Source organism: Homo sapiens, chromosome 14 (genome assembly GCF_000001405.40).
Source record: "Homo sapiens chromosome 14, GRCh38.p14 Primary Assembly".
Classification (NCBI taxonomy): domain Eukaryota; kingdom Metazoa; phylum Chordata; class Mammalia; order Primates; family Hominidae; genus Homo; species Homo sapiens.
Window position 1 is genome coordinate 74,139,555 of NC_000014.9, and position 23,650 is coordinate 74,163,204.

The window sequence follows — 23,650 nt, forward strand, 5'->3', positions numbered from 1 at the left end:
TTGGCTATTTCTCCAAGTAAATAAATATTAGAAAATATCAGCTCTTTTTCATCTTCAGGGAACAAGCCACTCAAGAAATGGTCAGTTTTTAAAATTGCTGAGCAGAACCTGCTATAGATATTTCCAGTATGGAGAAGAGAAACACTTGGATTTCTGATTTGTGTATGTTTACCAAAACAGATTCTAAGATATAAGAAAAATATTGCTAGAGTAATATTTTCTTTTATGCAGCTAGCATAGTGAGTCCAAGAGTTTATTTTTATATTCACTGTGTTTCACATAGGCTTGATTATAATAGGCTATTGGTGTTGTTGAATGGATGATTGAATTATTTCTGAAGCCTGTATGAGGTAGACTGTGGTGATATTTAGAAGTTAAAGGCAGTCTATGGTTTAATGTAATAAAACATGCTTCATAGCTAGTAAAAAAGCTATCCCTTTTATAATATATAGTGTATAGATTATATAATTAATATAAAGCCACAATAGCTTTATTACTAATTTAAAATTTAACTCCTAAGAACACTTCAGCAAAAACACAAAAATAGATTCACTTAAAAGCTTTTTAAAAATAACTTAGCCCAAAACACCAAATAAGTCTAGTAGAGTTTTGCTGCTTTAAATGTAAAAAGCAGCATTTTACTCTTAGTATTTAAAGGCGACTCCTTACCTTCTTGTAGCACTTTGTCTACTGCAGAATGTGCATGATTTTGCCCTAGTTATGGTGACTGGATTCTCATCCTCTCAGTAGGATCAATATTAAGCTAGCCTTCTTTACCTCCTCGATCCATATTAAACCTGTCTTGGAAAGAGTCTGTTTATTGGATAATATAGCTACACCGGGGCTCTATGACAATATCTTTTGCTGCCTCATTAACTCTCGAGCATTAGAACAAGATAAAAATGCCCTAAAGCCTCTTATCTGATGTCTGGTGTAACCTGCTGTAAGCAGGATTGCCATTAGTTTATGTTAGAAATCAAATGACCCTCTCCAGTGCAGGAAGTACTGATTAAACCTGAAGTGTCCCCGGAGGACTCTACAGCTGTCAGAGGGGTGGTGACTGTCCGTCACGAAAAGGGAAATCTGGGCCAGAGGTCCCAGTGGGGCGGTGCTTTAAGAACCCGCACGTGGCTGCCCCAGCTGTTCTGCTTTGCCTAATGAATTGTTTTACAAGAAGAGGCTGGGTATTATCATCACAAGCTGCCTTCCTTAGGGACTGGAGCAGGCCAAATAATAAGTAATGTTAGTGATGGTAATTGAAATGTGATGGCTCTCCTGAGATCTTTATGGCCCTGGAGCTGGTTGGCACTTGTGGATTGCCTTGTCCTAGCAAGTGCCTTATTTTTTTTCTGTTTTGTAATACCGTTGTGTGCGTTTTTCTCTTCTGTCCCCCATGGAAATTCATTAATAAAAGCTATCGTAGGAACATTACAATGATGTTAACTACAAAAGGAACAGTTTTAACTTTTTCATTTCAATTATCAAACACTGTAATGGTAAATAAGTGGTTTCTGGAGGAAACCACTGTAAAGATCTCTCTGTGCTTTTAAAGGAATATGTTAAACTTATACAAATAATACAAGCTCTTGATTTTAAGAATATTTTAAAATAACATGAAAGGATATAAAGTGAAAAGTAAAATCCTTATCTGCTGAATTTATGAGCGGTAACTGCCACGAACAGTTTCTCCATGGATGCTTCCAGACATTTTCTGTACATAGTAAAGTTTATATACATTACCATACACAGATGCAATCATAATATACATACTGTTTTGTGACTTATCTTTGACCCCACAACATGTCTTGGATATCTTTCCACAGCAGTATACATAGATCTGCTTCACTGTTTTCCAAATGCTTCATAGGATTTCACTATATGGATGTACCAATTCAAGACTCTTTGTAGATAGTTTGACTTGGACCTTATAAATGAAGCCTTACCATACAAGCAGGTTGCATCCACTGACTTGTGTTCCATAGTTCAAACTCTGCTTTTACATGAAGTGATTTTCCTTACTTCAGGAATGTTACATTTTAGTCCAGTATTGTTTTAAAATAGGAAATTCTGGAGGTAAAGCTTTTAGGGGGGAGGTAGTGTGAGTCTTGTCATGCATCATTAGCCGGACATATGTGTAGTGATATGCACCCCACTGTGTGCTTTTAATTTGTTGCTTAGTTAAATGAGAAGTATTCTGTCCCAGATAGGTGGGGAAAACAAATAGCCTTTGATGAGTGTTGTCCAAGGCACTGACTGGCGGCTTCCTCTAAAGTTGAATGAGTGTTTTCTCCCCTAATTTTCTACTTCAGAAGTTCCAGGAATCAAGTTTTGAACGCATTAATGGACTTGGGAAATGATTTGTCAGCACGTGGAAATGAGGACTTAGGTTTCTTGTGTAACAGCTTGGCTAACAAAGCAAGTTTGTGCCTCATGAACTTTAAGGGCCTTGCTGGGAGTGGCAGTGTGATGAATGAAGCAAAGCAATTTTCCAGGAGCATTTCAGGTCAGTGATAGGAGAAATCAGTTGTCTTCTCAGTCAAACAGAAACTTAATTTTAGTTGCATCTGTCTTAATAAGAGAATCTGTATGCAAATTGAATGGTAGAAATTCCACATCTGCCAAAGATGGGAGCATTGCAAGTCTTTTTTTTAACTCGAAGCTCTTTAGTCCCATTCTCAACACTTCAAAATTGAGGTTTGACCAAATATTGAAGAGATGTCATACTACTAAATTGCAAAATGCAAACTAGTTTTGTTTCAGACTTTTTATACAGTGCTTTTCTTGTCCTTGATGTTAGTCATTTGAATTGATGCCCAATCTTTAATTTAATAATTGGAGGCTATTATTAATAACAATAACTGATTTACTTCTTGTCCAAGCCTTTATTAGATTCATGGGATGTAGGTATACAGAGATTTCTGGGGCTGTTCTGGGCTATTGGAGATCTTGTAGACCTAAACTATTCAAAGCAGTAGCCACTAACTGCATGTGTTTGTTTGAAGTTAAATTAATTAAAAATAAAATTTAAAATCTAATTCCTCAGTCACTCTAGGAAATGCTCAGTAGCCATGTGTCGCTAATGACTACCACATTGGACAGCACTGCTCTAGACCAAAGGTCAGCAAACTATGGCCTGCAACCTGTTTTTGTATTCTCTGAGCTAAGAATGTTTTTTACGTTTTTATGGGGGCTGTAAAAGTAAAACAAAAACAAAAAACGGAAGAATCTGAAACAGACTGAATGTGGCCCACAAGCCTAACATAACATCCTTACGTCCCATTCATACTTATGTTATGTTAGGCTTGTGGGCCACATTCAGTCTGTTTGGTTCTTTACAAAAAACCTTTGCTCAGCCCTGGACCTATGCTTCCTCTTGGTGACGTTTTGGCTTTCTGATCAAATTGGGTTAGGACTTTCCATAAGTCATCAGAAGACTAAATCTAATAAGCAAATAGACAAATTTCAGATAAAGTTTCTTACTATAGATAGACTATGGAATGAGTCCAGAGCATACACAAATCAGTTCCCTGAAGCTAGGACAAGCGGGATGTGCATTTGAAATAGGAAAATAGTTTATAGTATAAATTATCAATTTCCTACAAGCTTTGTGCATAACACCTATAGTTTAACAGAACATCTTTCTTATTTTGTACACTATTTTGTGTCTTCTGTGTTCTATACTCTCCTATCTTACTCTGACAGAAACAGAATGAGCCTGGGCATAGTGGCTTATGCCTGTAATCTCAGCACTTTGAGAGGCCAAGGTGGGAGGATCACTTGACCCCAGAGTTCGAGACCAGCGTGGACGACATAGAAAGACCCTGTCTCTGCCAAAAAATACCAATAAAATTAGCCAAGTGTGGCAGTGTGCCCCTGTGGTCCCAGCTACTTGGGAAGCTGAAGTGGGAGGATGCATTTGAGCCCAAGAAGCAGAGCCTGCAGCGAGCTGTGATTGCTCCACTGCACTCCAGCCTGGGCAACAGAATGAGAAGCCTCTGTCTCCACATAGTCCGCCAAAAAAGCAGATGCACTTTTTAACAAAGAATTTACTGTGAAGTTTTTTTTTAACTATACAAATTATAATTTTTTCATATTTTTAATTGATACATTATAATTGTACATGTTTATGGGGTACAGTTTGACATTTCAATTCACATATGTTGTATAAAGATCAAATCAGGGTAGCTAGCATATCTATTACCACATGCATTTATTATTTCTTTGTGGTGAGAACATTCAAAAGCCTCTCTTCCAGCTATTTCATAATATGTGATACCTTACTGTTAACTAGTCACCCTGCTGTGCAACAGAACACCAGAACTCCTGTATAATTGTAATTTTGTGCCTGTTGACCAAACTTTCCTCATCCTCCTCCCCTGCCCTCTTCTCCCCTCTTTCCAGTTTCTGGTAACCACTCTGCTTCTATGATCTCAATTTTTTTTTTTCTTACAAGATTCCACATATGAGTGAGATCATGGCAGTATTTGTCTTTCTGTGTCTGGCTTATTTCACTTAACATGATGCCCTCCAGTTTCAACCATGTTGTCACACATGACAAGGTTTTATTCTTCAATTTTTTTTTTTTTTTAAGACAGGGTCTTGCTCTGTCACCCAGGCTGGTGTGCAGTGGTACAAACACGGCTCACTGCAGCTTCGACCCTGGGGTCAAGAGATCCTTCCGCCTCAGCCTCCCAAGTAGCTGGTGTGGGAGCCACACCCAGCTAATTTTTTTTTTTTTAATTGGAGCCATGGGGGTTGGGAGGGGTCTCACTTTGTTGCCCAGGCTGGTCTCGAACTCCTGGGCTCAATCAATCCTCCCACCTTGGCCTTCCGAAAGGCAGGGATTACAGATGTGAGCCACTGTGCCCAGCCTCAAATTATTTTTAAACCATCACATTATTTCAGTCTCTCCTAGGAAGAATGCAGCAAAAAGATTCTTTTTCTGGTATTCTCAACATCTGAGAGATTGTCTTCCCTTAGCAAATGTAACTCTAACAAATTCTTATTAAATATAAGGTCTATGAAATCTACCTATAAAATGAGCACCTGGCACTTCTGTGGTAAGTCAGCTTGTCGCTTTCAAGACAGGACCTTGACATTCATGAGGTAACTGCAAATTTCCAAGTTTGTGATAACTCATAGTGTATCATTTTTCCTCTAAAATGTGGTAAAGTACAGTTAAAAAAATTGTTACCGTTTGGGCCTTTGGTATGAATTATTCTATAATTAGAAGTAAGTAAAGTATTCTCCCACTAAAATAAATGTTACACTGCAATATGTTTAATTACAAATAGAAATGTTAACTGGAACTTGTCTGAATCTTCAAACTCAACATGTCAGATGATCACGGGTTGTGTGGTTGAGATCATGAAGTGTGTACTAAGCCACAAAAAAAGTGACACTTCAACAATAACCTTGAAAACAAGGCACGTGATAGAAGAGATAAGGGAGATCATTGTGAAACAGTATTCTGAGAGGGAACCTTTGTGAAGTGATCGCTTCTTTCTAAAGAACTCTGAGTGGTAGCTGTAGTTGGCTTTTATTCCATGGTATGAAATCAGTGCAGATTTTAACATTTAAAGCTCTATCCATTGATCATAAGCAGTTATGGTGTCAATTAGCTGTTTCTCCATTAGAACGTTGACTAAATGTATGAAAACTCAAAAAAGTTCTTCTAATTCTTCAGTGTCATCCCCTTTGCCATTCTTTGCCAACTCATCTGTGAGTCTTATTGTTTTTTCAGTTCTTCCATATTACTTTTATGTGTGCCCTCCAAACCTTTGCCAACCTCTTGCCTCTCCAGTATTAACAGTGTATTCTTCATTGCCTGTGAAAATAATCTTAAAGTTATACACTGCCTTCTTCCTTACAGTATGCCAGTAAGCATCCACTTTTGTAGATCACCTGATTTGTAGTAAAAGATTCTCTATGGAATCCTTACATAATCAAGGATGTACCTCTTCTAAAGCTGCCTGTTAATAAGTTTGCTATCTTTGTCCATGGCATTTTTTGATGACAATGAAAGTGTGGCAAAGTCATATGCTTTGAGCTTGTCTCTTACAGTCTGGTCGAAAAGTCAGAAGTATTCAGAGGAAGGAACATCACTTAAGGATTTAGAATTGTAAACTATAGTAATTAAAGATAGCCTTCCACATTTTCCACAGTAGGGAGAACTTGAAATTCAAGCTTAGACATTTCTGGCACAAAGTGTTTTGTTTTTTTGTTTGTTTGTTTCTCGGCCCTTCTAAGAGACAAAACATGAAATGTTTTTGAAACCAGTCCAAAACACCTTGCCCTGTGTCTGAGGGTGTTTTTTTCCACTGGACTACCAATATTTGGAAAGACATTCCTTTCATGTCTTGGGGTTTTCAGATTGGTATGGAAAACTTGTTTTTTCATAAAGACTGCAGATTCTATGACGTGAAATAGTCAAGTCTGATCTTAAACTCCCTCATAGAGCTCTGTGAGGATATCTAGGTATTTGCAGGTTTCACCACTGAATTCCCAACATTTACCATACTTGGTACATAATAGATAGGTGCTTACTTTTCCCCTTTCATTATTTTTTCCCAAATCACATTTTGGTCATGAATCCCATGTTTCCTGAATCATCCTCACTGCCTTTTCAGAGAAGTATGTATTTTTCTCTCTATTGATGAACATGTTTGATAAAAGCTGGGATACTTGTTAAAACGTTCCCACACACGGCTGGATACATTATGGAACTATTCATGTCATATATCTGTGCCAACCATAAGAAAAATATGCCTTCCAAATTCCTTTAGTTCTCTTCAGTTTCCATAAAATGTTATTTTTATCATGTGTAAGAGTACTGTTAGGGAATCTCGTAGCCATGGTGGGATGCAGGTACTGGGTGGACCACTAGGTTCACTAGCCAGCTAAGTGAATTGCTCTTCCAGTGTGTGCTGTTCAGATTTGTTCCTAAGCAAAATTGCAGATAAACTCCTGTGTTACATTGACTTTCATGCCTTCATAGTAGAAAGCCCACAGATATTAAAGACTTGAATTCAGGTACTAGTAACAATTATAGATTGATTGTTCAGAATACCTTGGTTTCCTTCTTAAGCATAAAGTACAGAAAAATCAACACTGACAAGTTAATCCTAAAAATCACATGGAAATAATTGCAAGGGACCCAGAATAGCAAAACAATCTTGAAAAAGAACAAAGTTGAAGGACTTACACTTCCCAGTCTCAAAACCTACTACAAAATTACAGTAATTAAGACAGTGCAGTAGTGGCATAAGGATAGCCATATAGATCAATGGAATATGATTGAGAATCCAGAAATAAACCCCCATATTTACAGTTAATTGGTTTTTGACAAGGACACCAAGATCATTCAATGGGGGAAAAGTAGTCTCTTTCAACAACTGGTGCTGGAAAACAATATCCACATGAGGCCAGGCATGGTGGCTCATGCCTGTAAACCCAGCAATTTGGGACGCCGAGGTGGGTGGATCACTTGAGGTCAGGAGTTTGAGACCAGCCTGACCAACATGATGAAACCTCATCTCTACTAAAACTACAAAATTAGCTGGGCATGACAACGCACCCCTGTAATCCCAGCTACTTGGAAGGCTAAGGCAGGAGAATCGCTTGGATGCCTGAGGCGAAGGTTGCAGTGACCCGAGATCGCACCATTGCATTCCAACCTGGGCAGTAAGAGCGAAACTTCATCTCAAACAAACAAAATATCCACATAAAAAATAAAATAAAATAAAATTGGACCCTCTACCTCATATCATATAAAAAATTAACTCAAAATGGATCATGGACCTAAATATAAGAGCTGAAACTATAGAACATAGGCATAAATCATGACCTTGAATTTGGCAGTAGTTTCTTAGATATGATACCAAAAGAACAAGCTCCATTACAATTAAACACTTCTGTGCTTCAAAGACACCATTAAGAAAGTACTTGGGTAGGACAGGTGTGGTGACTTACGCCTGAAATCCCAGCACCTGTGTTCATAGTAGCATTATTCACAATAGCTAAAAGGTGGAAGCAATCCAAATGTTCATTGACAGGTGAATGGATAAACAAAATGTAGTAGATACATGCAATGGAATATTATTCAGCCTTTACAAAGGAAGGAAAATCTGACACACAACCTTGTGGGACATTATGCTAAGTGAAATAAGCCAGTCACAAAAAAACACTACGTAATTCCACTTATGTGAGGTAATCAGAGTAGTCAAATTCATAGAGACAGAAAGTAGAATGGGGGTTGGGAGGAATGGGGGAGTATTGTTTAATGGTTACAGAGTTTCAGTTTTGCAAGTTGAAAAAGTTCTGGAGATTGGTTGCACAGTGATGCAAACACACTTAATGCCACACTAAACTGTACACTTAAAAATGGTTGAGATGGTAAGTGTTATGTATATTTCACAATTTTAAAGTGGGGGAAGGTGACTTTTATGCTATGTGAATTATATCTCAAGTTTTTAAAAGTTATATGAGAAAAGAAGAAAAAAGAAAACAAAACCTATCTAGGAAGCCCAGAAGATTTGACAGTCTATTATAGGCCTGCTCCTAATCAAAGGCCTTTTTTTAATGTGTAGTGATTTTATATTCCACTTTCCTCAATTCATGAATAAGTCCCTTCTAACTCTCCTCTTCCCTTTATTATTTCGCAAAATAGATTGGAAATAATCTCCTGATCCTCCTCAGTACTTATGTTAACATCTGGGACCCTACCAAAGGTTCACATCTATTTCTTAAGATTTTGATATTATCATAATAAGTAAATATTTATTATGTAAACCAATGTGCTAGACCCTGGGTGTCAAAAATACATAAGCTCCTCTCATGGCACTTACAATCTGACTAGAGAGACAAGGCAAATGTATAAAAAGTTTGATCACAGTACAAGAGAGCATGTACTGATCCACTTGAGGAGCATAGAAGTTGACAGAAATGAGAGATTACAGTAGGCTAAAGGTGTTTGGAAAAAGTCTTATAAAAAAAGTGGGATATAAACGAACAACAACAACAACAAATCCTACATATCAACAGTGGCAAGTTGGTTTCCTTCTTGCTGTAAGATTCCATGTAAAATGTAGTATTTTATATAGCAGTTGCTATTTGATTAACCTGCAAAAATTATTTTTTTCTCATATTCATTTCCCTTGTTAGTATCCCAGTTTGTTAGGTTAGACAGAAAAAAAAAATTGCTTGATTGTCTATTCCTCCACATATAGATCAGTATGTTAAGGGGGCGAAGTAACTTTACATCATAATTTGGCCACTGGGCCATGCAACAGCCTGTCTAGCTTTACCCTGCTAAGCCTAGAAGTGGCAACAAAGAGATAAGAAAGCCACCATCAAGTGTCTGTGGCCTAGTATGAATTTGACCTGCACCTTGACAATGATTTTGATTTCAGCTTTCCATGGTGAATGGATTTACTACCTATCAGAGTCACAAAAACCCTTAATTTTTAAAATATTTTGGGGTTTTTCTTCTACATGTTAAATGTTAACTTCCTGTGACAGGCGGTGATGATTTCTGAATTTTCAGTGGGCACAACTCATTATTGAAGCACTGAAGTAGTTGGTTACTATTGCAGCTAATTCTTATTTAAATGAGCAAGAGTTCTTTGGAAAGATTAGGCAGCATGGTTTTAAAAATTCACAGCAACACTGATGTATATCAGTTTTGGCTTGGCAGGCTTTGACCCAGGGCCGTGCAGTGTTTTATAACCCTCAGCTACATAAGGACACATACTTATAGCATCACTTTTGTAGTGGATATTTTTATAACTCTACAAAACGATTAGACTGACGTAAAGCAATTCTCTAAATTCATAGGTATTAAAATATTCTGGCAGCTGTCTCCTTTTTGCCTTTAAGTTGAGACATCATGATGAGATAAGACTGCACCAGGCCTGATCGGTACATGAATGAGGTTATGCGTGGTATTCTCACATTATTGACAAGGGTCTTTGTCACTATAAATAGGAGAAATCTTTGGGGAGGGGTTGCCATTATAGTAATTCCGATTCAATTCCAGCAATATTCTTGTTTTTCATAAACTTTTTTCCTTCAAAACACATTCCATGCAATCAGATAAGAAAGAATGATATAAAAATGCCTTTGAATTCTAACTAAAATAATTTAGCTTATAGTTGAAATATATAATATCTTTATCTGGGAGTCTGAGGTATTGATTAGGGTTAGAGAATGTTTAGGAGAACCTGGATGAAAGAAACTTACTGGTAAATTGGCTGTAGGCTACAGTGACATGGGATACAGACTCTTCTGTTTGCAAAATAGTCTTCTACCAACTCGTGGATTCCAGGTCATAGTCCTCAAGGGGGACCAAGAGTCTGGAAAGGTCTTGTGTTACCATCTTAGCAGCTCTCTAACCTCTCTTTCCCTAAGTGCTTCTTACTGCTTCTAAGTGTCTCAAATTCTTTTAACTGAGAACAATTTATAGTTAAAAGATTGTCCCCCTGCTGAGAAATAGGAGGCTTTAAATGGCAAGTGATTATCAGTACAACCATTTTGGAAAACTTAGGCGGTATCTACTAAAACTGATCATACCTCTACCCTATGCCTCAGTAATTTTTATGCTATGTACCCTAGAAATAGGTATGCATGCATTTGTGTGCCGAAAGATAAAGATACATACAAAAATGTTTGGAGCAGCAGTATTTATAATTGACCCAAACTAGAAACAACCTCAAATCAATTGGCAGTAGAATGAATAAATAATGCAAAAATTTATTATTGATAAAGAACATAGTAGAATACTGTATAGCCATGAAAATGAACCAGCTCTTGCTACATGCAACAACATGAATGAATCTCAAGAATATATATAACATTGAATGATGAAGCTAGACACAAAAGAGTTTATATTGTACAGTTTCATTTCTATAAAGTTCAGAAACATGCAGAGCTAATCCATGGTGATACAAATCCAAATAATGGTTGCATTGGGGCTATGATGATGGCTGGGAGGGGGCCTGAGGAAGAGGCTTCTGCAGTGGTGGTAATGATTCTCTATGTACCTATATGTGGTTGTTACACAGTATATTTATGATTTGTACATTTTTCTGTTCATATGTTATACTTTTTTAAATTAACTAAAAAAAATTTAAAGACAAATAGTGACTGAGATAAAAATGAAAATGAATACACTCTAAGGGCTAATAGCCAGTCTGACCTTAAATTGAAGTGGTAGCACTTAAAGCCTTTCTGGTTTGATATGGGAAGCTCATGAAAAAAGGATATTGAGCATCAGTAGTTTTCCAGCCAGTTAGGAAAAGATGTTGAAGATGAAGGAAACCAACCCTCCCGCCCCCCTGCTCCAAGCTCCAGATTTCAAAATATTTCTTGAGCAGGCCTTATATAATGGGATACGAGTAGCTGGAATTGTTTTCGAAGATATTTTTGTCATGGGCAGCTATGAATGTACACAACCTTTTCTGCCTTAGAGGTTTGTTTTTTAATATAAACCTCCTTAAAATACAATTTTTATACCCAGAGAGTCATTAATTGAGGTCACCGGCATAGAGAAAGGGTGGTGATGAATGTGATTCAGTAGATGGCAGTATTCCCTTTGAAGTTTTTAGTTAAAATGTGGGTGTACTGGGGTAGCAACTTTTTTCGGTGGGAATGAAGAAAAGTCACATACTGGGATAATTAGACCAGAAAGAACATTTTATTATTTTTTTCCATATGTGGTATTACTATTGTGAATGAAGCAATAATAACCACAACATACAGAGTAAGAGGAAGTTTGTTTAATGTAGTATTCCTTTAAGTGGGAATTATTGGATAGAACCCTTGGAAAGGATTTGGCCAGTGTCTTTTTTTCCTGTCATATATTTAGGAAGATTGAGATAATGACTAACTGCTTTATACAAAGATGTCAGTGAAATTTATTAATGAGGTGATTAGGATGCAGTTGAGCAGAAATTAAAAGAAAAAAGTGATTGACCAGTCTGTTTTTGCTGGTTATTTTAATATAAATCAAATGCTATTTGAATAGATTCTCTTTTTTAATGTTGAAATTGTCTTATAATAGTAGTGCTTGGTGGGCTTTAAGACTCTTTGCCATATGGGGGTTTTAATTTTAAGGAATTTGACATCGATTATAGTAACATGCCATAGAAGTCAAGAGTTATCAGCCAGTTAAAAGGACGAAACATGGCTATCGTGCAGAACAAGAGATCAATTAACAAACTAATCAGTTGGAGTCAGAAGAACTACATGCAAGTCCTGACTTTGCTCCTTATTAGGTAGTGACCTTGGGCAAATCACTTAACCTGCCATTTTTTTTTTCTCATCTATGAAAACTATAGGTGATAAGTAACTGCTGTGCCTTCCCCACAGGTTGTTAAGTTCATCAAATGGATGCATTGTCTTAAATTAAGTGTGCTGTTGTTAGGCAGGGCGAGGTGGCTCACGCCTGTAATCCTACCACTTTGGGAGGCTGAGGTGGGCGAATCACTTGAGGCTGAGGTCAGGACTTCGGGACCAGCCTGTCCAACATGGTGAAACCCCATCTCTATTAAAAATACAAAAATTAGCCTGACATGATGGTGCATGCCTGTAATCCCAGCTACTCGGGAGGCTGAGGCACGAGAACCACTTGAACCCAGGAGGCGGAGGCTGCAGTGAGCCAAGATTGCACCATTGCACTCCAGCCTGGGTGACAGAGCAAACCTCCATCTCAAAAAAAAAAAAAAAGAATGCTGTGTTAATGGTGATGGACTCTACAGATGGGCTCTACATTGTTTTTATACTGTTCAATTAACTTTTGTTTCCTCCTGTTCTGCCTATAGTCATCAGGTGCTTGCTAAGAAACATTGATAATCATTGCTTCAATAGCCATCATTATGAGTACCTACTAATAGGTACTTCATTCACTAAGTGCTTTAGGTACATAGTCTCTAAAGCCTCACAACAGCCCTGTAAGTTGGAACATTGTCGCCATTTTACAGTTGGCAAAGGTCTGGACTAGCCCAAGAGCTGTGAATCAATCCAAGCCATCTGACTCCATAGCCTTTGCTTTTAGTTTATTATGCTATGCCTGCCATTATGCACTTGAGTTTTGACTTTTCTGTATCTAGTATTTTAGAAGCCAGGGCCAGCTGGGCGCAGTGGCTTACGCCTGTAATCCCAGCACTTTGCAAGGCCAAGGCAGGCAGATCACAAGGTCAGGAGTTCGAGACCAGCCTGGCCAACACAATGAAACCCCATCTCTACTAAAAATACAAAAATTAGCTGGGCGTGGTGGCACATGCCTGTAATCCCAGCTACTCAGGTGGCTGAGGCAGGAGAATTGCTTGAACCTGGGAGGCAGAGGTTGCAGTGAGCTGAGATCGCACCACTGCCCTCCAGCTGGGGCAACAAAGCAAGACTCTGTCTCAAAAAAAAAAAAAAAAAAAAAAAGCCAGGACCATAGATAGTATTTTTATGTATCAGATACTTAAATGAAAGACACTGAGCCTTAGTGGAAAAATTTATTATTATATTTCCCTTTGGAGTTAACAGAATCCTAGTGCGTGCAATTACTAATTTGGGAGTGGGAGGAGTTGTGCTCCTGACCTGAGCCTACATTTTATCATTACCAGAGCACATGCAGATTGTTTCTTGAAGATTCAGACAAGGAGAGGAACACAGTAAAGGATGTAAAGAATGTTAATGTCTGGTTTGAGGATATGTTATAATTTTATTTGCAGATACCCCTCCCAACTATATTTTAATGTTAGAACTAGTTTTTTCTTTGTGTGTGTATGCTTTATGGCGGTTTCCCATTCATTGTAATAGTCATTGATATTTTGCATGGGGTTATCTTCTAGAGAATACATTTAAAACTGGTAACTAAATATGCTGATAACTAAATACATTTTTGCTATTCATATTAGGTTAAAAATAAATAAGTATATATGAACATTTTCATTTATAAACATGTTGTCTTTTAATATTCCAAAAATATTGTTTTTAATGGAAAATGATTTTTTTTTTTTTTGAGACAGAATTTCTCTCTGTTGCCCAGGCTGGAGTACAGTGGCGCAATCTTGGCTCACTGCAACCTACACCCCTCAGGTTCAAGTGATTCTCCTGCCTCAGCCTCCCGATAGCTGGGATTATAGGTGCCCACCACCATGCCCGGCTAATTTTTGTATTTTTAGTAGAGACGGAGTTTCACCATGTTGGTCAGGCTGGTTTCGAACTGCTGACTTCAGGTGATCCACCCGCCTCTGCCTCCCAAAGTGCTGGGATTACAGGCGTGAGCCACCATGCCTGGCGGAAAATGATTTTTTTAAACTCTATCTTCTATTGTAAAAACATAAAAATTATTTGTGTTTTGGCCAGCTTCTGATTTAGTTTGTAAATTGTCACTAGTTGTTTTTCAATAAGTTGTAAATTTTAGAATATTTTTAAATTTACAGGAAAATTAAGAAGGAGCGTTCCCATATAACCCACATGGAATTTCCCCTGTTGTCGTTAGTGTGGTACATTTATTACAGTTAATGAACCAATAAAGTCCATACTTTATTCACATTTCCTTAGCTTTTCCTTAATGTTTTTTTTTTTCTGTTCCAGGTCCCATCTAGGATACTGTATTACATTTAGTTGTCATGTCTCCTTAGGCTTATGTTGGCATGACAGTTTCTCAGACTTTCCTTGTTTTTTGATAGCCATGACAGTTTTAAAGAGTACAGTCAGGCACATTGTAGAATGTCCCTCAGTTGGGATTTGTCTGATGTATTTTTCATAATTATGGTTTGCCTTTCACTACATAAACCAGGCTATATGTGGAGGTTGTTCTTAATCATAATGAGCTCTATAAGGAAGGCAGATTAGGATTTTAAAATATTGGCTGTGGTTAACCAAAGATAAACATTAACATCATTCTTTGTTGGATCTGAAACACTGGCTACATTTTTTATATTTTATCATTTTTCCGAAGCAGCCAGTCCTAATTCTGGCTAGAAGTAAGAGTCTAGGTTATATGATCTGCTCATATCCCTGAAACAGTTTCTTTTCTAATTGCACCTATTGGGGCAGTTGGGATGGGTTTTAATGTTACTCCTAAGAGCTTTATTTAATCTGTATTGGCCTTTTAATTAGTAATGGGCAATTTTGGGTGAATTGCTAATTGATTAGAGTTGCGGAAATTATCCACAAAGCTGTTTTGTCCCTGCAGCCTAGAAGACGTAAGATTAAAACAGGATCGGGTTTAGTTACTAGTGTAAGATGAATGCTTGAAAAGTATTATTTTAGTGGCTTTGGTTTGTGTTCCGGCCTGGTGTTGGTTTTAACTCTGCTAAGAATTATTGTCTTTTAACTCACTGAGGTCCTCAATTCTACTCCATTAAGGGCCACTTTTCTGCCAATCAAAAAGCAGCATCCCTGAGATTGATTTTTGTTACAGTGGGTAGTAATGGCTGCCTAGTGACAACATTTCAAACTCTTTTATGTAAACAGAAAGCAATCAAATAAGTACTAATCCAAGGATTATGTGGACCCAAATCCTGTGGCCAAAAGAATCTCTGCAGTGTATGTCTCTGGCTCTTTGCCTTCTAGTGCCAAGCAGCCCCTCTTCTTCCTGGAAAGCTTGCTTGTTGCTTGTGCTGCCTGTTAGATTTCAGTGTGCTAAAACCAAAACACTCCTGCAGCTCCTGAATGAAATTCAAAAAGACACTTACATTTCCATAAATAAATTAGGAATTCAGTGGTTTCTTTGGGCTAATCAGGGCAGGCTGATAAACCTTGCTAGCTGTTTAATAAATGAATTGTGACCTATTAATATGGACGCCTCAGGAATTCACCCTGGTGGAAGCAGAGCAGTGAAATAGAGAGGGGCATGGCCCCTTGGGAAATCAGGGCTTCATGTTTGCAGCTTAAATATCTCTGTGAAGTATCAATAAGGAGGTAATTGAATTTTGAACACAAACATGAGCGCCGGATGGATGAAAGGGGGTGGGGGATCTGATCGTCTCTTCTCTGCCCCTTCATTCTCCCCTCCCCTTTTCCTTGGAGACCACTCTAGTAAAGATAGATGCTAAATCCATTAAATAAAGATTAGACTCCGTCGTAGTAGAAAATGGCAGCTTAGCTAGATCCCCAGGCAAATTGGAGCCTTTTGCAATACAGAAAATTAAAATATACATTTTTAACAAGTGTGCTATCTTCCTAGCAATAATGCTAGGCTAGCTTGTGGGGTTTACTCCTCCTTCAGATTGGCTTTTGTTTGGGCAGATCACTTTCTCTTGTATTAATGCCAATCTTTTCTGTATTCCTGGAACAGAAGGGACTGGGTTTATTTATTTATTTTTAAAGCTTCTGTTGAGGCCTTTCCTCTAGCATCCTGCTTGCTTGTAATCAGAAGAGTGGGAAGGAGATTAGTGTCCCATGAATTGACGGTAGATAAATGTTCCCTCCCCTTCACTGGTGGGTCCAGAAGAGCCCAATCACTTGTATTTCAGGGATGACTGGAGACTGTACAGCCAAGCAAGAAAAGGGCTTACAGATTGAAATAAACATTGATGTTTTAGATGCAATTTTACTTGGCTTTATTTCCTGTAGATAAGGTTATTGATTTGCTTTGTCCTCCTATTTTAAGCCAGGTAAAGTCATATTAATGTAAGAAAAAAGAATTGGCATTATTTGGTTACAGATCATAATACTCCTTTTTTAGCAATAGCAGAAAACAAACATCAAGCCTTAAATGCTTTTGTTATGTTGATGCGAATGCCCAGTATTGTTTTTTTTAGACTAACCCTTTTTTACATGTCAATCTACAATTCTAATAACCCTTTCCTATAGTCAGTCTGTCTATCAACAAGTATAAATTGAGCATCTGTTAGGTGTGTAGCATGGTCAATGGTGAGAAAAGTCTATCCTCTACTACCACAGTTACTTCTTTTCTTTGTTTTTTATGGTTTTGTTTTTTGTTTGCTTTCATTGTTTTTAATTGACACATAATAATTGCACATATTTGTGAGTTATAGGGTGATATTTTGATACATGCATACAATGTGTAATGATCAAATCAGGGTAACTAGTATATCCATCACCTCAAACATTTATCATTTCTTTGTGTTGGGAACATTCAAAATCTGCTCCTCTGGCTATTTGAAAATATACAATAAATTGTTGTTAATTACAGTCACCTTACAGTTGTAGAGAACACTAGACCTTAGTTCCCCTACCTAGCTGTAATTTTGTATCCATTGACCAACCTCTCCCATCTTTACCTCTCCCCTCCCCTTCCTAGCCTCCAGTAACCACTATTCTACTCTGTACTTAGGAGATCAACTTTTTTAGCTTTTACATATGAGTGAGAACATGTAGTATTTATCTTTCCGTGCCTGGCTTATTGCATTTAACTTAATGTCCTCTAGTTCCATCCATGTTGCTGGGAATGACCAAATTTCATTCTTTTGTATGGCTAAGTAGTATTTCATTATGTATGTATACCATATTTTCTTTTTCTTTTTTTTTTTTTTGAGACAGAATTTCACTCTTGTCACCTAGGCTGGAGTGCAGTGTTGCCATCTCGGCTCACTGCAACCTCCACCTCCCAGGTTCAAGCAATTCTCCTGCCTCAGCCTCCTGAGTAGCTGGGACTCCAGGCATGTGCCACCACACCCAGCTAATTTTTGTATTTTTAGTAGAGACAGGGTTTCTCCATGTTGGCCAGGCTGATCTTGAACTCCTGACCTCAGGTGATCCTCCCGCCTCAGCCTCCCAAAGTGCTGGGATTATAGGCATGAGCCACCACACCTGGCCTCCACATTTTCTTTATCCATTCATCTGTTGATAGACACTTAGGTTGATTCTGTATCTTGGCTAACCACAGATACTTCTTTGAAAACAAAGTGAATCATGGCATACTCCTGCTATATATATATATATATTTTTTAATTAATTTATTTATTTTAGAGACAGGGTCTCACTCTGTCACTCAGGCTGGAGTGCAGTGGTGTGAACTTGGCCCACCTCAGCTTCGACCTCCTGGACTGAAGGGATCCTCCCACCTTAGCCTCCCAAGTACCTGGGACTACTCACCACCACACCTGGCTCATTTTTTGATATTTTTTTTTTCTGTGGAGATGGGATTGCTCTGTGCTGCCCAGGCTGGGATTACAGGGATGAGCCACCGTGCTCAGCATACTCCTGCTTATCAAAGTTCTATGTCTCCTTGGGTCCTACAAGATAACATTCAAATTCTCAGGCTTTCACAAAGTGCCTTCCTGACACTGATCCAGGCTTTCCGTAGTGTCATCATTCTATGGGATCTACACCTGAGGCTCTGGGGATTTCCTATGGAAGAACAAATGTGGAACTTCTTGGTCTCAGATTAAGGGCTTTGTGCATCATTTGCCAGATGGTGTTTCAAATGTTCACAATTCTTTCTTTCAACTTCAGGGGTATATTGTTGTTCAGATTTTCAACAATTTGCCCTTATGACATTCACTTTATAATTTAACTTTGTTTGCAGCAATGGAGGAAACCTTTCTTGTTAAGACAATTAAGGTGTCTATGCTTTCTATCATCACTGCTATATATATATATATATATATTTTTTTGAGATAGAGTCTCCCTCTGTTGCCCAGGCTAGAGCACAGTAGCGTGATCTCGGCTCACTGCAACCTCCGCCTCACAGGTTCAACTGATTCTTGTACCTCAGCCTCCCGAGAGCCAGGATTACAGGTGCGCGTCACATGCCCGGCTAATTTTTGTATTTTTAGTAGAGATGGAGTTTCACCATGTTGGCCAGGCTGGTCTCAAACTCCTGACCTCAAGTAATCCTCTCGCCTCAGCCTCCCAAAGTGCTGGGATTATAGGCGTGAGCCACCGTGCGTGGCCCGCCCCCTACTGCTGTCGTAAGTTATTTCTTCCTTTCTTTCTTTTTTATTTTTATTTATTTACTTGTTTGTTTATTTATTTTTGAGACAGAGTTTTGCTCTTGTTGCCCAGGCTGCAGTGCAATGGCACGATCTCAGCTCACTGCAACCTCCACCTCCCGGGTTCAAGTGATTCTCCTGCCTCAGCCTCCTGAGTAGCTGGGATTACAGGCATGTGCCACCACGCCCGGCTAATTTTGTATTTTTAGTAGAGATGGGGTTTCTCCATGTTGGTCAGGCTGTTCTTGAACTCCCGACCTCAGGTGATCCGCCCACCTCAGTCTCCCAAAGTGCTGGGATTACAGGCGTGAGCCACTGCGCCCAGCCGTAAGTTATTTATTTCTAGAGATCAGAAATCGAATTTATTTAACTCTATCACCACAGTTCACAAATGGCCCTTAATAATTTTGAATGCTATTACTCAAAGCCAAATAACACAAAATTTCAGAATTTTCTTGCAACTTCTTATGTTGCAAGTTACATTGATGTTATATCCAGATGGTTATAATTTTCCTCCCAGGTCTCTCTAATCTCTGCTTCCAACTGTATTGCTGGGCCTCAGAGCTCTTTCCAACACAGGGTTCCTGGGGCCACAGGAGACAAACATTTAAAGGCTCTGTATTCCTAGTGGTTGGGTCTTAACTATTATAAACTACATGTTTTAAATCTAATTTAACATTAGCAGATTAATGCAAGTGAAATATATTTTCTTATTTGTATTATATTCAGTATAGAGTGTATCTTTTTATTTAATTACAAGATTTAATACCAGAAATTCTGAGATTAAAAAAAAATCTTACCCAAGTTCTCCCTACAATTTTTAAATAAAATAGTGTCATTGGCTTTATTCTTTTAAGAGAAGATCTCTTGGTAATTCTCTTTCCTAAAGCTTTCTGGTGATCTTAGCATAACCTTCATTCAGCAAAATATCTCCTGCCTGCCTTTGTATATACGTAACAGAGTACCATTAGAATTATCTGCAGTATAATGTTACTACTTACACAATTACTGATTTAAGTTTCTGTACATGTGTGGATAAATGCTCAAATTGTCTGTCTTGTCCAGGCAGATTCTGTAGCCATGGTTCTTAACCTAGAGTCCTCATATGTGGGGTTTGTTTTTTTTTTTTTTTTTTTTGGTGAGATGGAGTCTCACTCTGTCACCCAGGCTAGAAGCAGTGGCATGATCTCAGCTCACTGCAGCCTCCACCTCCTGGGTTCAAGTAATTCTCCCACCTCAGCCTCCTGAGTAGCTGGGATTATAGACATGTGCCTCCACGCCCAGTTAATTTTTGTATTTTTAGTAGAGACGGGGTTTCACCATGTTGGCCAGGCTGGTCTCGAACTCGTGACCTCAAGTGATCCGCCTGCCTTGGCCTCCCAAAGTGCTGTGACTACAGGTGTGAATCACCGTGCCCTGCCTACAGCTGTCTTTATGAAGTGCTATGACAAACCTACCATACAGCAAGCGTTCTCAACTTTGGCACCATTATGAAATTGTGTTTGTGTGTGTACATGTATAATTTTCAGCAGAGAGTTTCTATGACTTTTATCAGATTTTTTAAGAGATCTCTGTTATGGATTGAATTTTGTCCCCTGAAAAAGATATGTTGGAGTCCTCTTCCTTATTTGGAGATAGGCTCTTTACAGAGGTAATTAAGTTAAAATGAGGTCATTGTGTGGGGCCTCATCCCAATATGGCTGAAGTCTTTATACAAAGGAAAAGTTTGGACATGGAGACAGACATGCATAGAGGGAAGACAGTGAAAAGAGACACAGGGAGAAGATGCCATCTACAAGCCAAAGAGAGAGGCCTGGAACAGAGCTTTGCCTCACAGCCCTCAGAAGGAATGGACAATTCTAGCATTAGCTCAAGCTGCTGTATGATGTACTTGTGTGAAGGATTATTTATGGGCCCAAATACCCTTCTCTCTATAGGAGTTTATAATCTCTATAGACTAAAAGGAATTAGGTCCCCAAGGTTGCTGCCGTTCTTAGCCTAGATTTAAAAACCTTTAATTTTTCACTATTTTATGTAGTTCCATATGCATATGGAGATTTCATGATCATTAGGTGAAAATTACTCTTTAAATTAATTATTCATAGTAAAGGGAAAGGGTTTGCCTTTTGAAAAAAGTATATCTTTTCCATTTTTCTAAGTCTTCTACAGTTTAGGCCATACCGGTTTTCAGAAATCCCTTCTAGTTAAAGTCTACTAAACACTAACTAACTTACTCTTTACTTTCTCAAGCACTAATGGAAATACTGGATTATAACCAATCTAATACTCTCTGGGCATTTCTACTAGACACTTTGCTCAGTGTGATTTAAGGCAGTTTATAATCACTCCTTGTGGTCTTGAGGCCAGTTTTCAATTCATGAGACTCATATATCCTAGCTAGTTTTAATTAATTTTGCAAGGAAGATGCCAGGAGAAGCAATATTAAATGCTTTCTTATAATCAGGTTATTTCATCTTTTGCGTTCTCGTCAGCCACTAATCTTGTAATTTTATCTTAACAAAATACAGAACTTGCTTTGACATAGTTTGTTCTTTACTCATCATGTTTTTCAGTACATAGAACTTATGGTTTGGGTAACCTTATATTCATGATTGTCTTAACATTAGGATTTGGGGATAGACCTTAATTAGTATCACATTGTGTTTCATATATTTGGTCTTTTAGGGTAATCATATTAGCCAAGAACAGTCAGGAGTAATTTGAACAGGGAAAAATTTATTTATTTATTTATTTATGACAGAGTCTCACTCTGTTGCCCATGCTGGAGTGCAGTGCATGATCTCGGCTCACTGCAACCTCCGCCTCCTGGGTTCAAGCGATTCTCCTGCCTCAACCTCCCAAGTAGCTGGGACTACAGGCATGCACCACCATGCCCAGCTAATTTTTGTATTTTTAGTAGAGATGAGATTTTGCCACATTGGCCAGGCTGGTCTCAAACTCCTGACCTCAGGTGATCCACCCTCCTTGGCCTCTCAAAAGTGCTGGGATTACCGGCGTCAGCCACCGTGCCCGGTCTGAACAGGGAAAATTTAAAATAAAAAATGTTAATTAGGTGAAAGGTGGTTAACTTCTGAAAGGAAAAGAAGAGTCAACGGTGTACAGAGGTAGCAGAAAGCTGCTAACCCCTAGGACTGAAGGAGAGTCAACAGAGGAACTTAGTGGAGGTCCCCACAAGGCTGAGGTTCAGCCCTCTGAAGGGAAAACACATGGCCACGGGAACACTCTGCCGGTGCATTGCCGGAGCAGCCCACCTGATGGCAGTGAAGAATCTTTGGGGGAGGGAGCCCCACCACTGAACTGTAAGGACTGCCATTGCCAAGGTGAACATAGCTGAGACCCTGCACGCCAACCTGCTTGTCGCTGCACAGAAGAGCCACACGGTGCAAGAAGGAAGAAAAGGCCTTTTTCCTGCCTCAGCTTTGCAGCCTCCCTCCAGTGCCCTTTATTGGCAAAGCAAAGCACCAGGCTAAGTGACAGAGAAGAAATGTAGCCTGCTGTTGGGTCCAACTCCAGTATCACAAAGCAGGGCAAAGGGTGAGTTAGGAAGCGAGAGACAGTAAATGGATAACTGGCACAGTGAGTAAAATTTTTGTGTAACTTTAAATATTACAAGTTAACTTTATTTTGCATCATGGGGTTGATAACTATCATTCAATTAACAGGTTTTAACAAAATTTTCAAAAATAAAAAATCTGACAGTAATTGGAAGATAACAAAGCATAAGTGTGAATAAAAAATTGCCGCCTGTAATCCCAGCACTTTGGGAGGCTGAGGTGGACAGATCATTTGAGATCAGGAGTTTGAGACTAGCGTGGCCAATATGGTGAAATCTCGTCTCTACTAAAAATACAAAAATTAGCTGGGCTTGGTGGTGCACACCTGTAATCCCAGCTGCTTGGGAGGCTGGGGCAGGAGAATCGCTTGAAACCAGGAGATGTAGGTTGCAGTGAGAGGAAATCGCCACTGTACTCCAGCCTGAGCAACAAAGCAAGACTCCATCTCACAAAAAAAAAAAAAAAAAAAAGATTGCTCTCCCACCCTCTTAGCCACATTGAATTTTCTTACTTTCCTTATTTATTTATTTTTTTATTGAAAAAAAAATATTAGAGATGGGGTATCATTATGTTGCCCAGGCTGGTCTCAAACTCATGGGCTCAAGGGATCCACCCACCTCATCCACCAAAAGTGCTGAGATTACAGGTGTGAGCCACTGCGCCCAGCCGAATTTTCTTAATTTCATGTATGACTAATTTTCTCTTCTAATCATTTCATTTTTCTTGAATTGTTATATTCTCTCCCAACTTTTCTCTTTTTAACGACATTGAGCTCTCCTCTTCCTGTCTTCCATTAGCACCTTTCCTAACAACCTTATTTGTTCTTCAATTGTTATTTATGCTTGTCTTCTCAGCTAAATTGTAAGGCCCTTGTAGTGAACTCAGGGACTGTGCTTTATATTACTTCTGTATATTACAGAATAGGACTATACGAATGCATGTTGAATAGATGGAATCATTTTATATTTACAATTAAGTAAGAAAATGGAAACATAGCCATCAAAGCAGTCAAGGAACAGGTAGGCACTTACCCTTTCTATTCTCCCTTGCTACCTTCTTTTTTGTTCTTGTTTTGAGACGGGGTCTGGCTCTGTCTGCAGGCTTGGAGTACAGTGGTACAATCTCAGCTCACTGCAGCCTCAACCTCCTGGGCTCAAGCCATCCTTTCACCTCAGCCTC

At 38.7% G+C, this 23,650-nt stretch overlaps 1 protein-coding gene and 1 long non-coding RNA gene across 3 annotated transcripts in view; one reads left to right on the top strand and one right to left on the bottom strand.

Annotated features, from left to right (window-relative positions):
* The window catches only part of LOC105370563 (uncharacterized), a 45,899-nt gene extending 42,892 nt beyond the window's left edge, over positions 1 to 3,007 (bottom strand). The window contains exon 1 of the long non-coding RNA XR_944024.3: positions 670 to 3,007. This is a non-coding gene — a long non-coding RNA (uncharacterized LOC105370563). The remainder of the gene's footprint in view (positions 1 to 669) is intronic.
* The window catches only part of LIN52 (lin-52 DREAM MuvB core complex component), a 116,538-nt gene that overhangs the window by 54,599 nt on the left and 38,289 nt on the right, over positions 1 to 23,650 (top strand). The window lies entirely within an intron of this gene.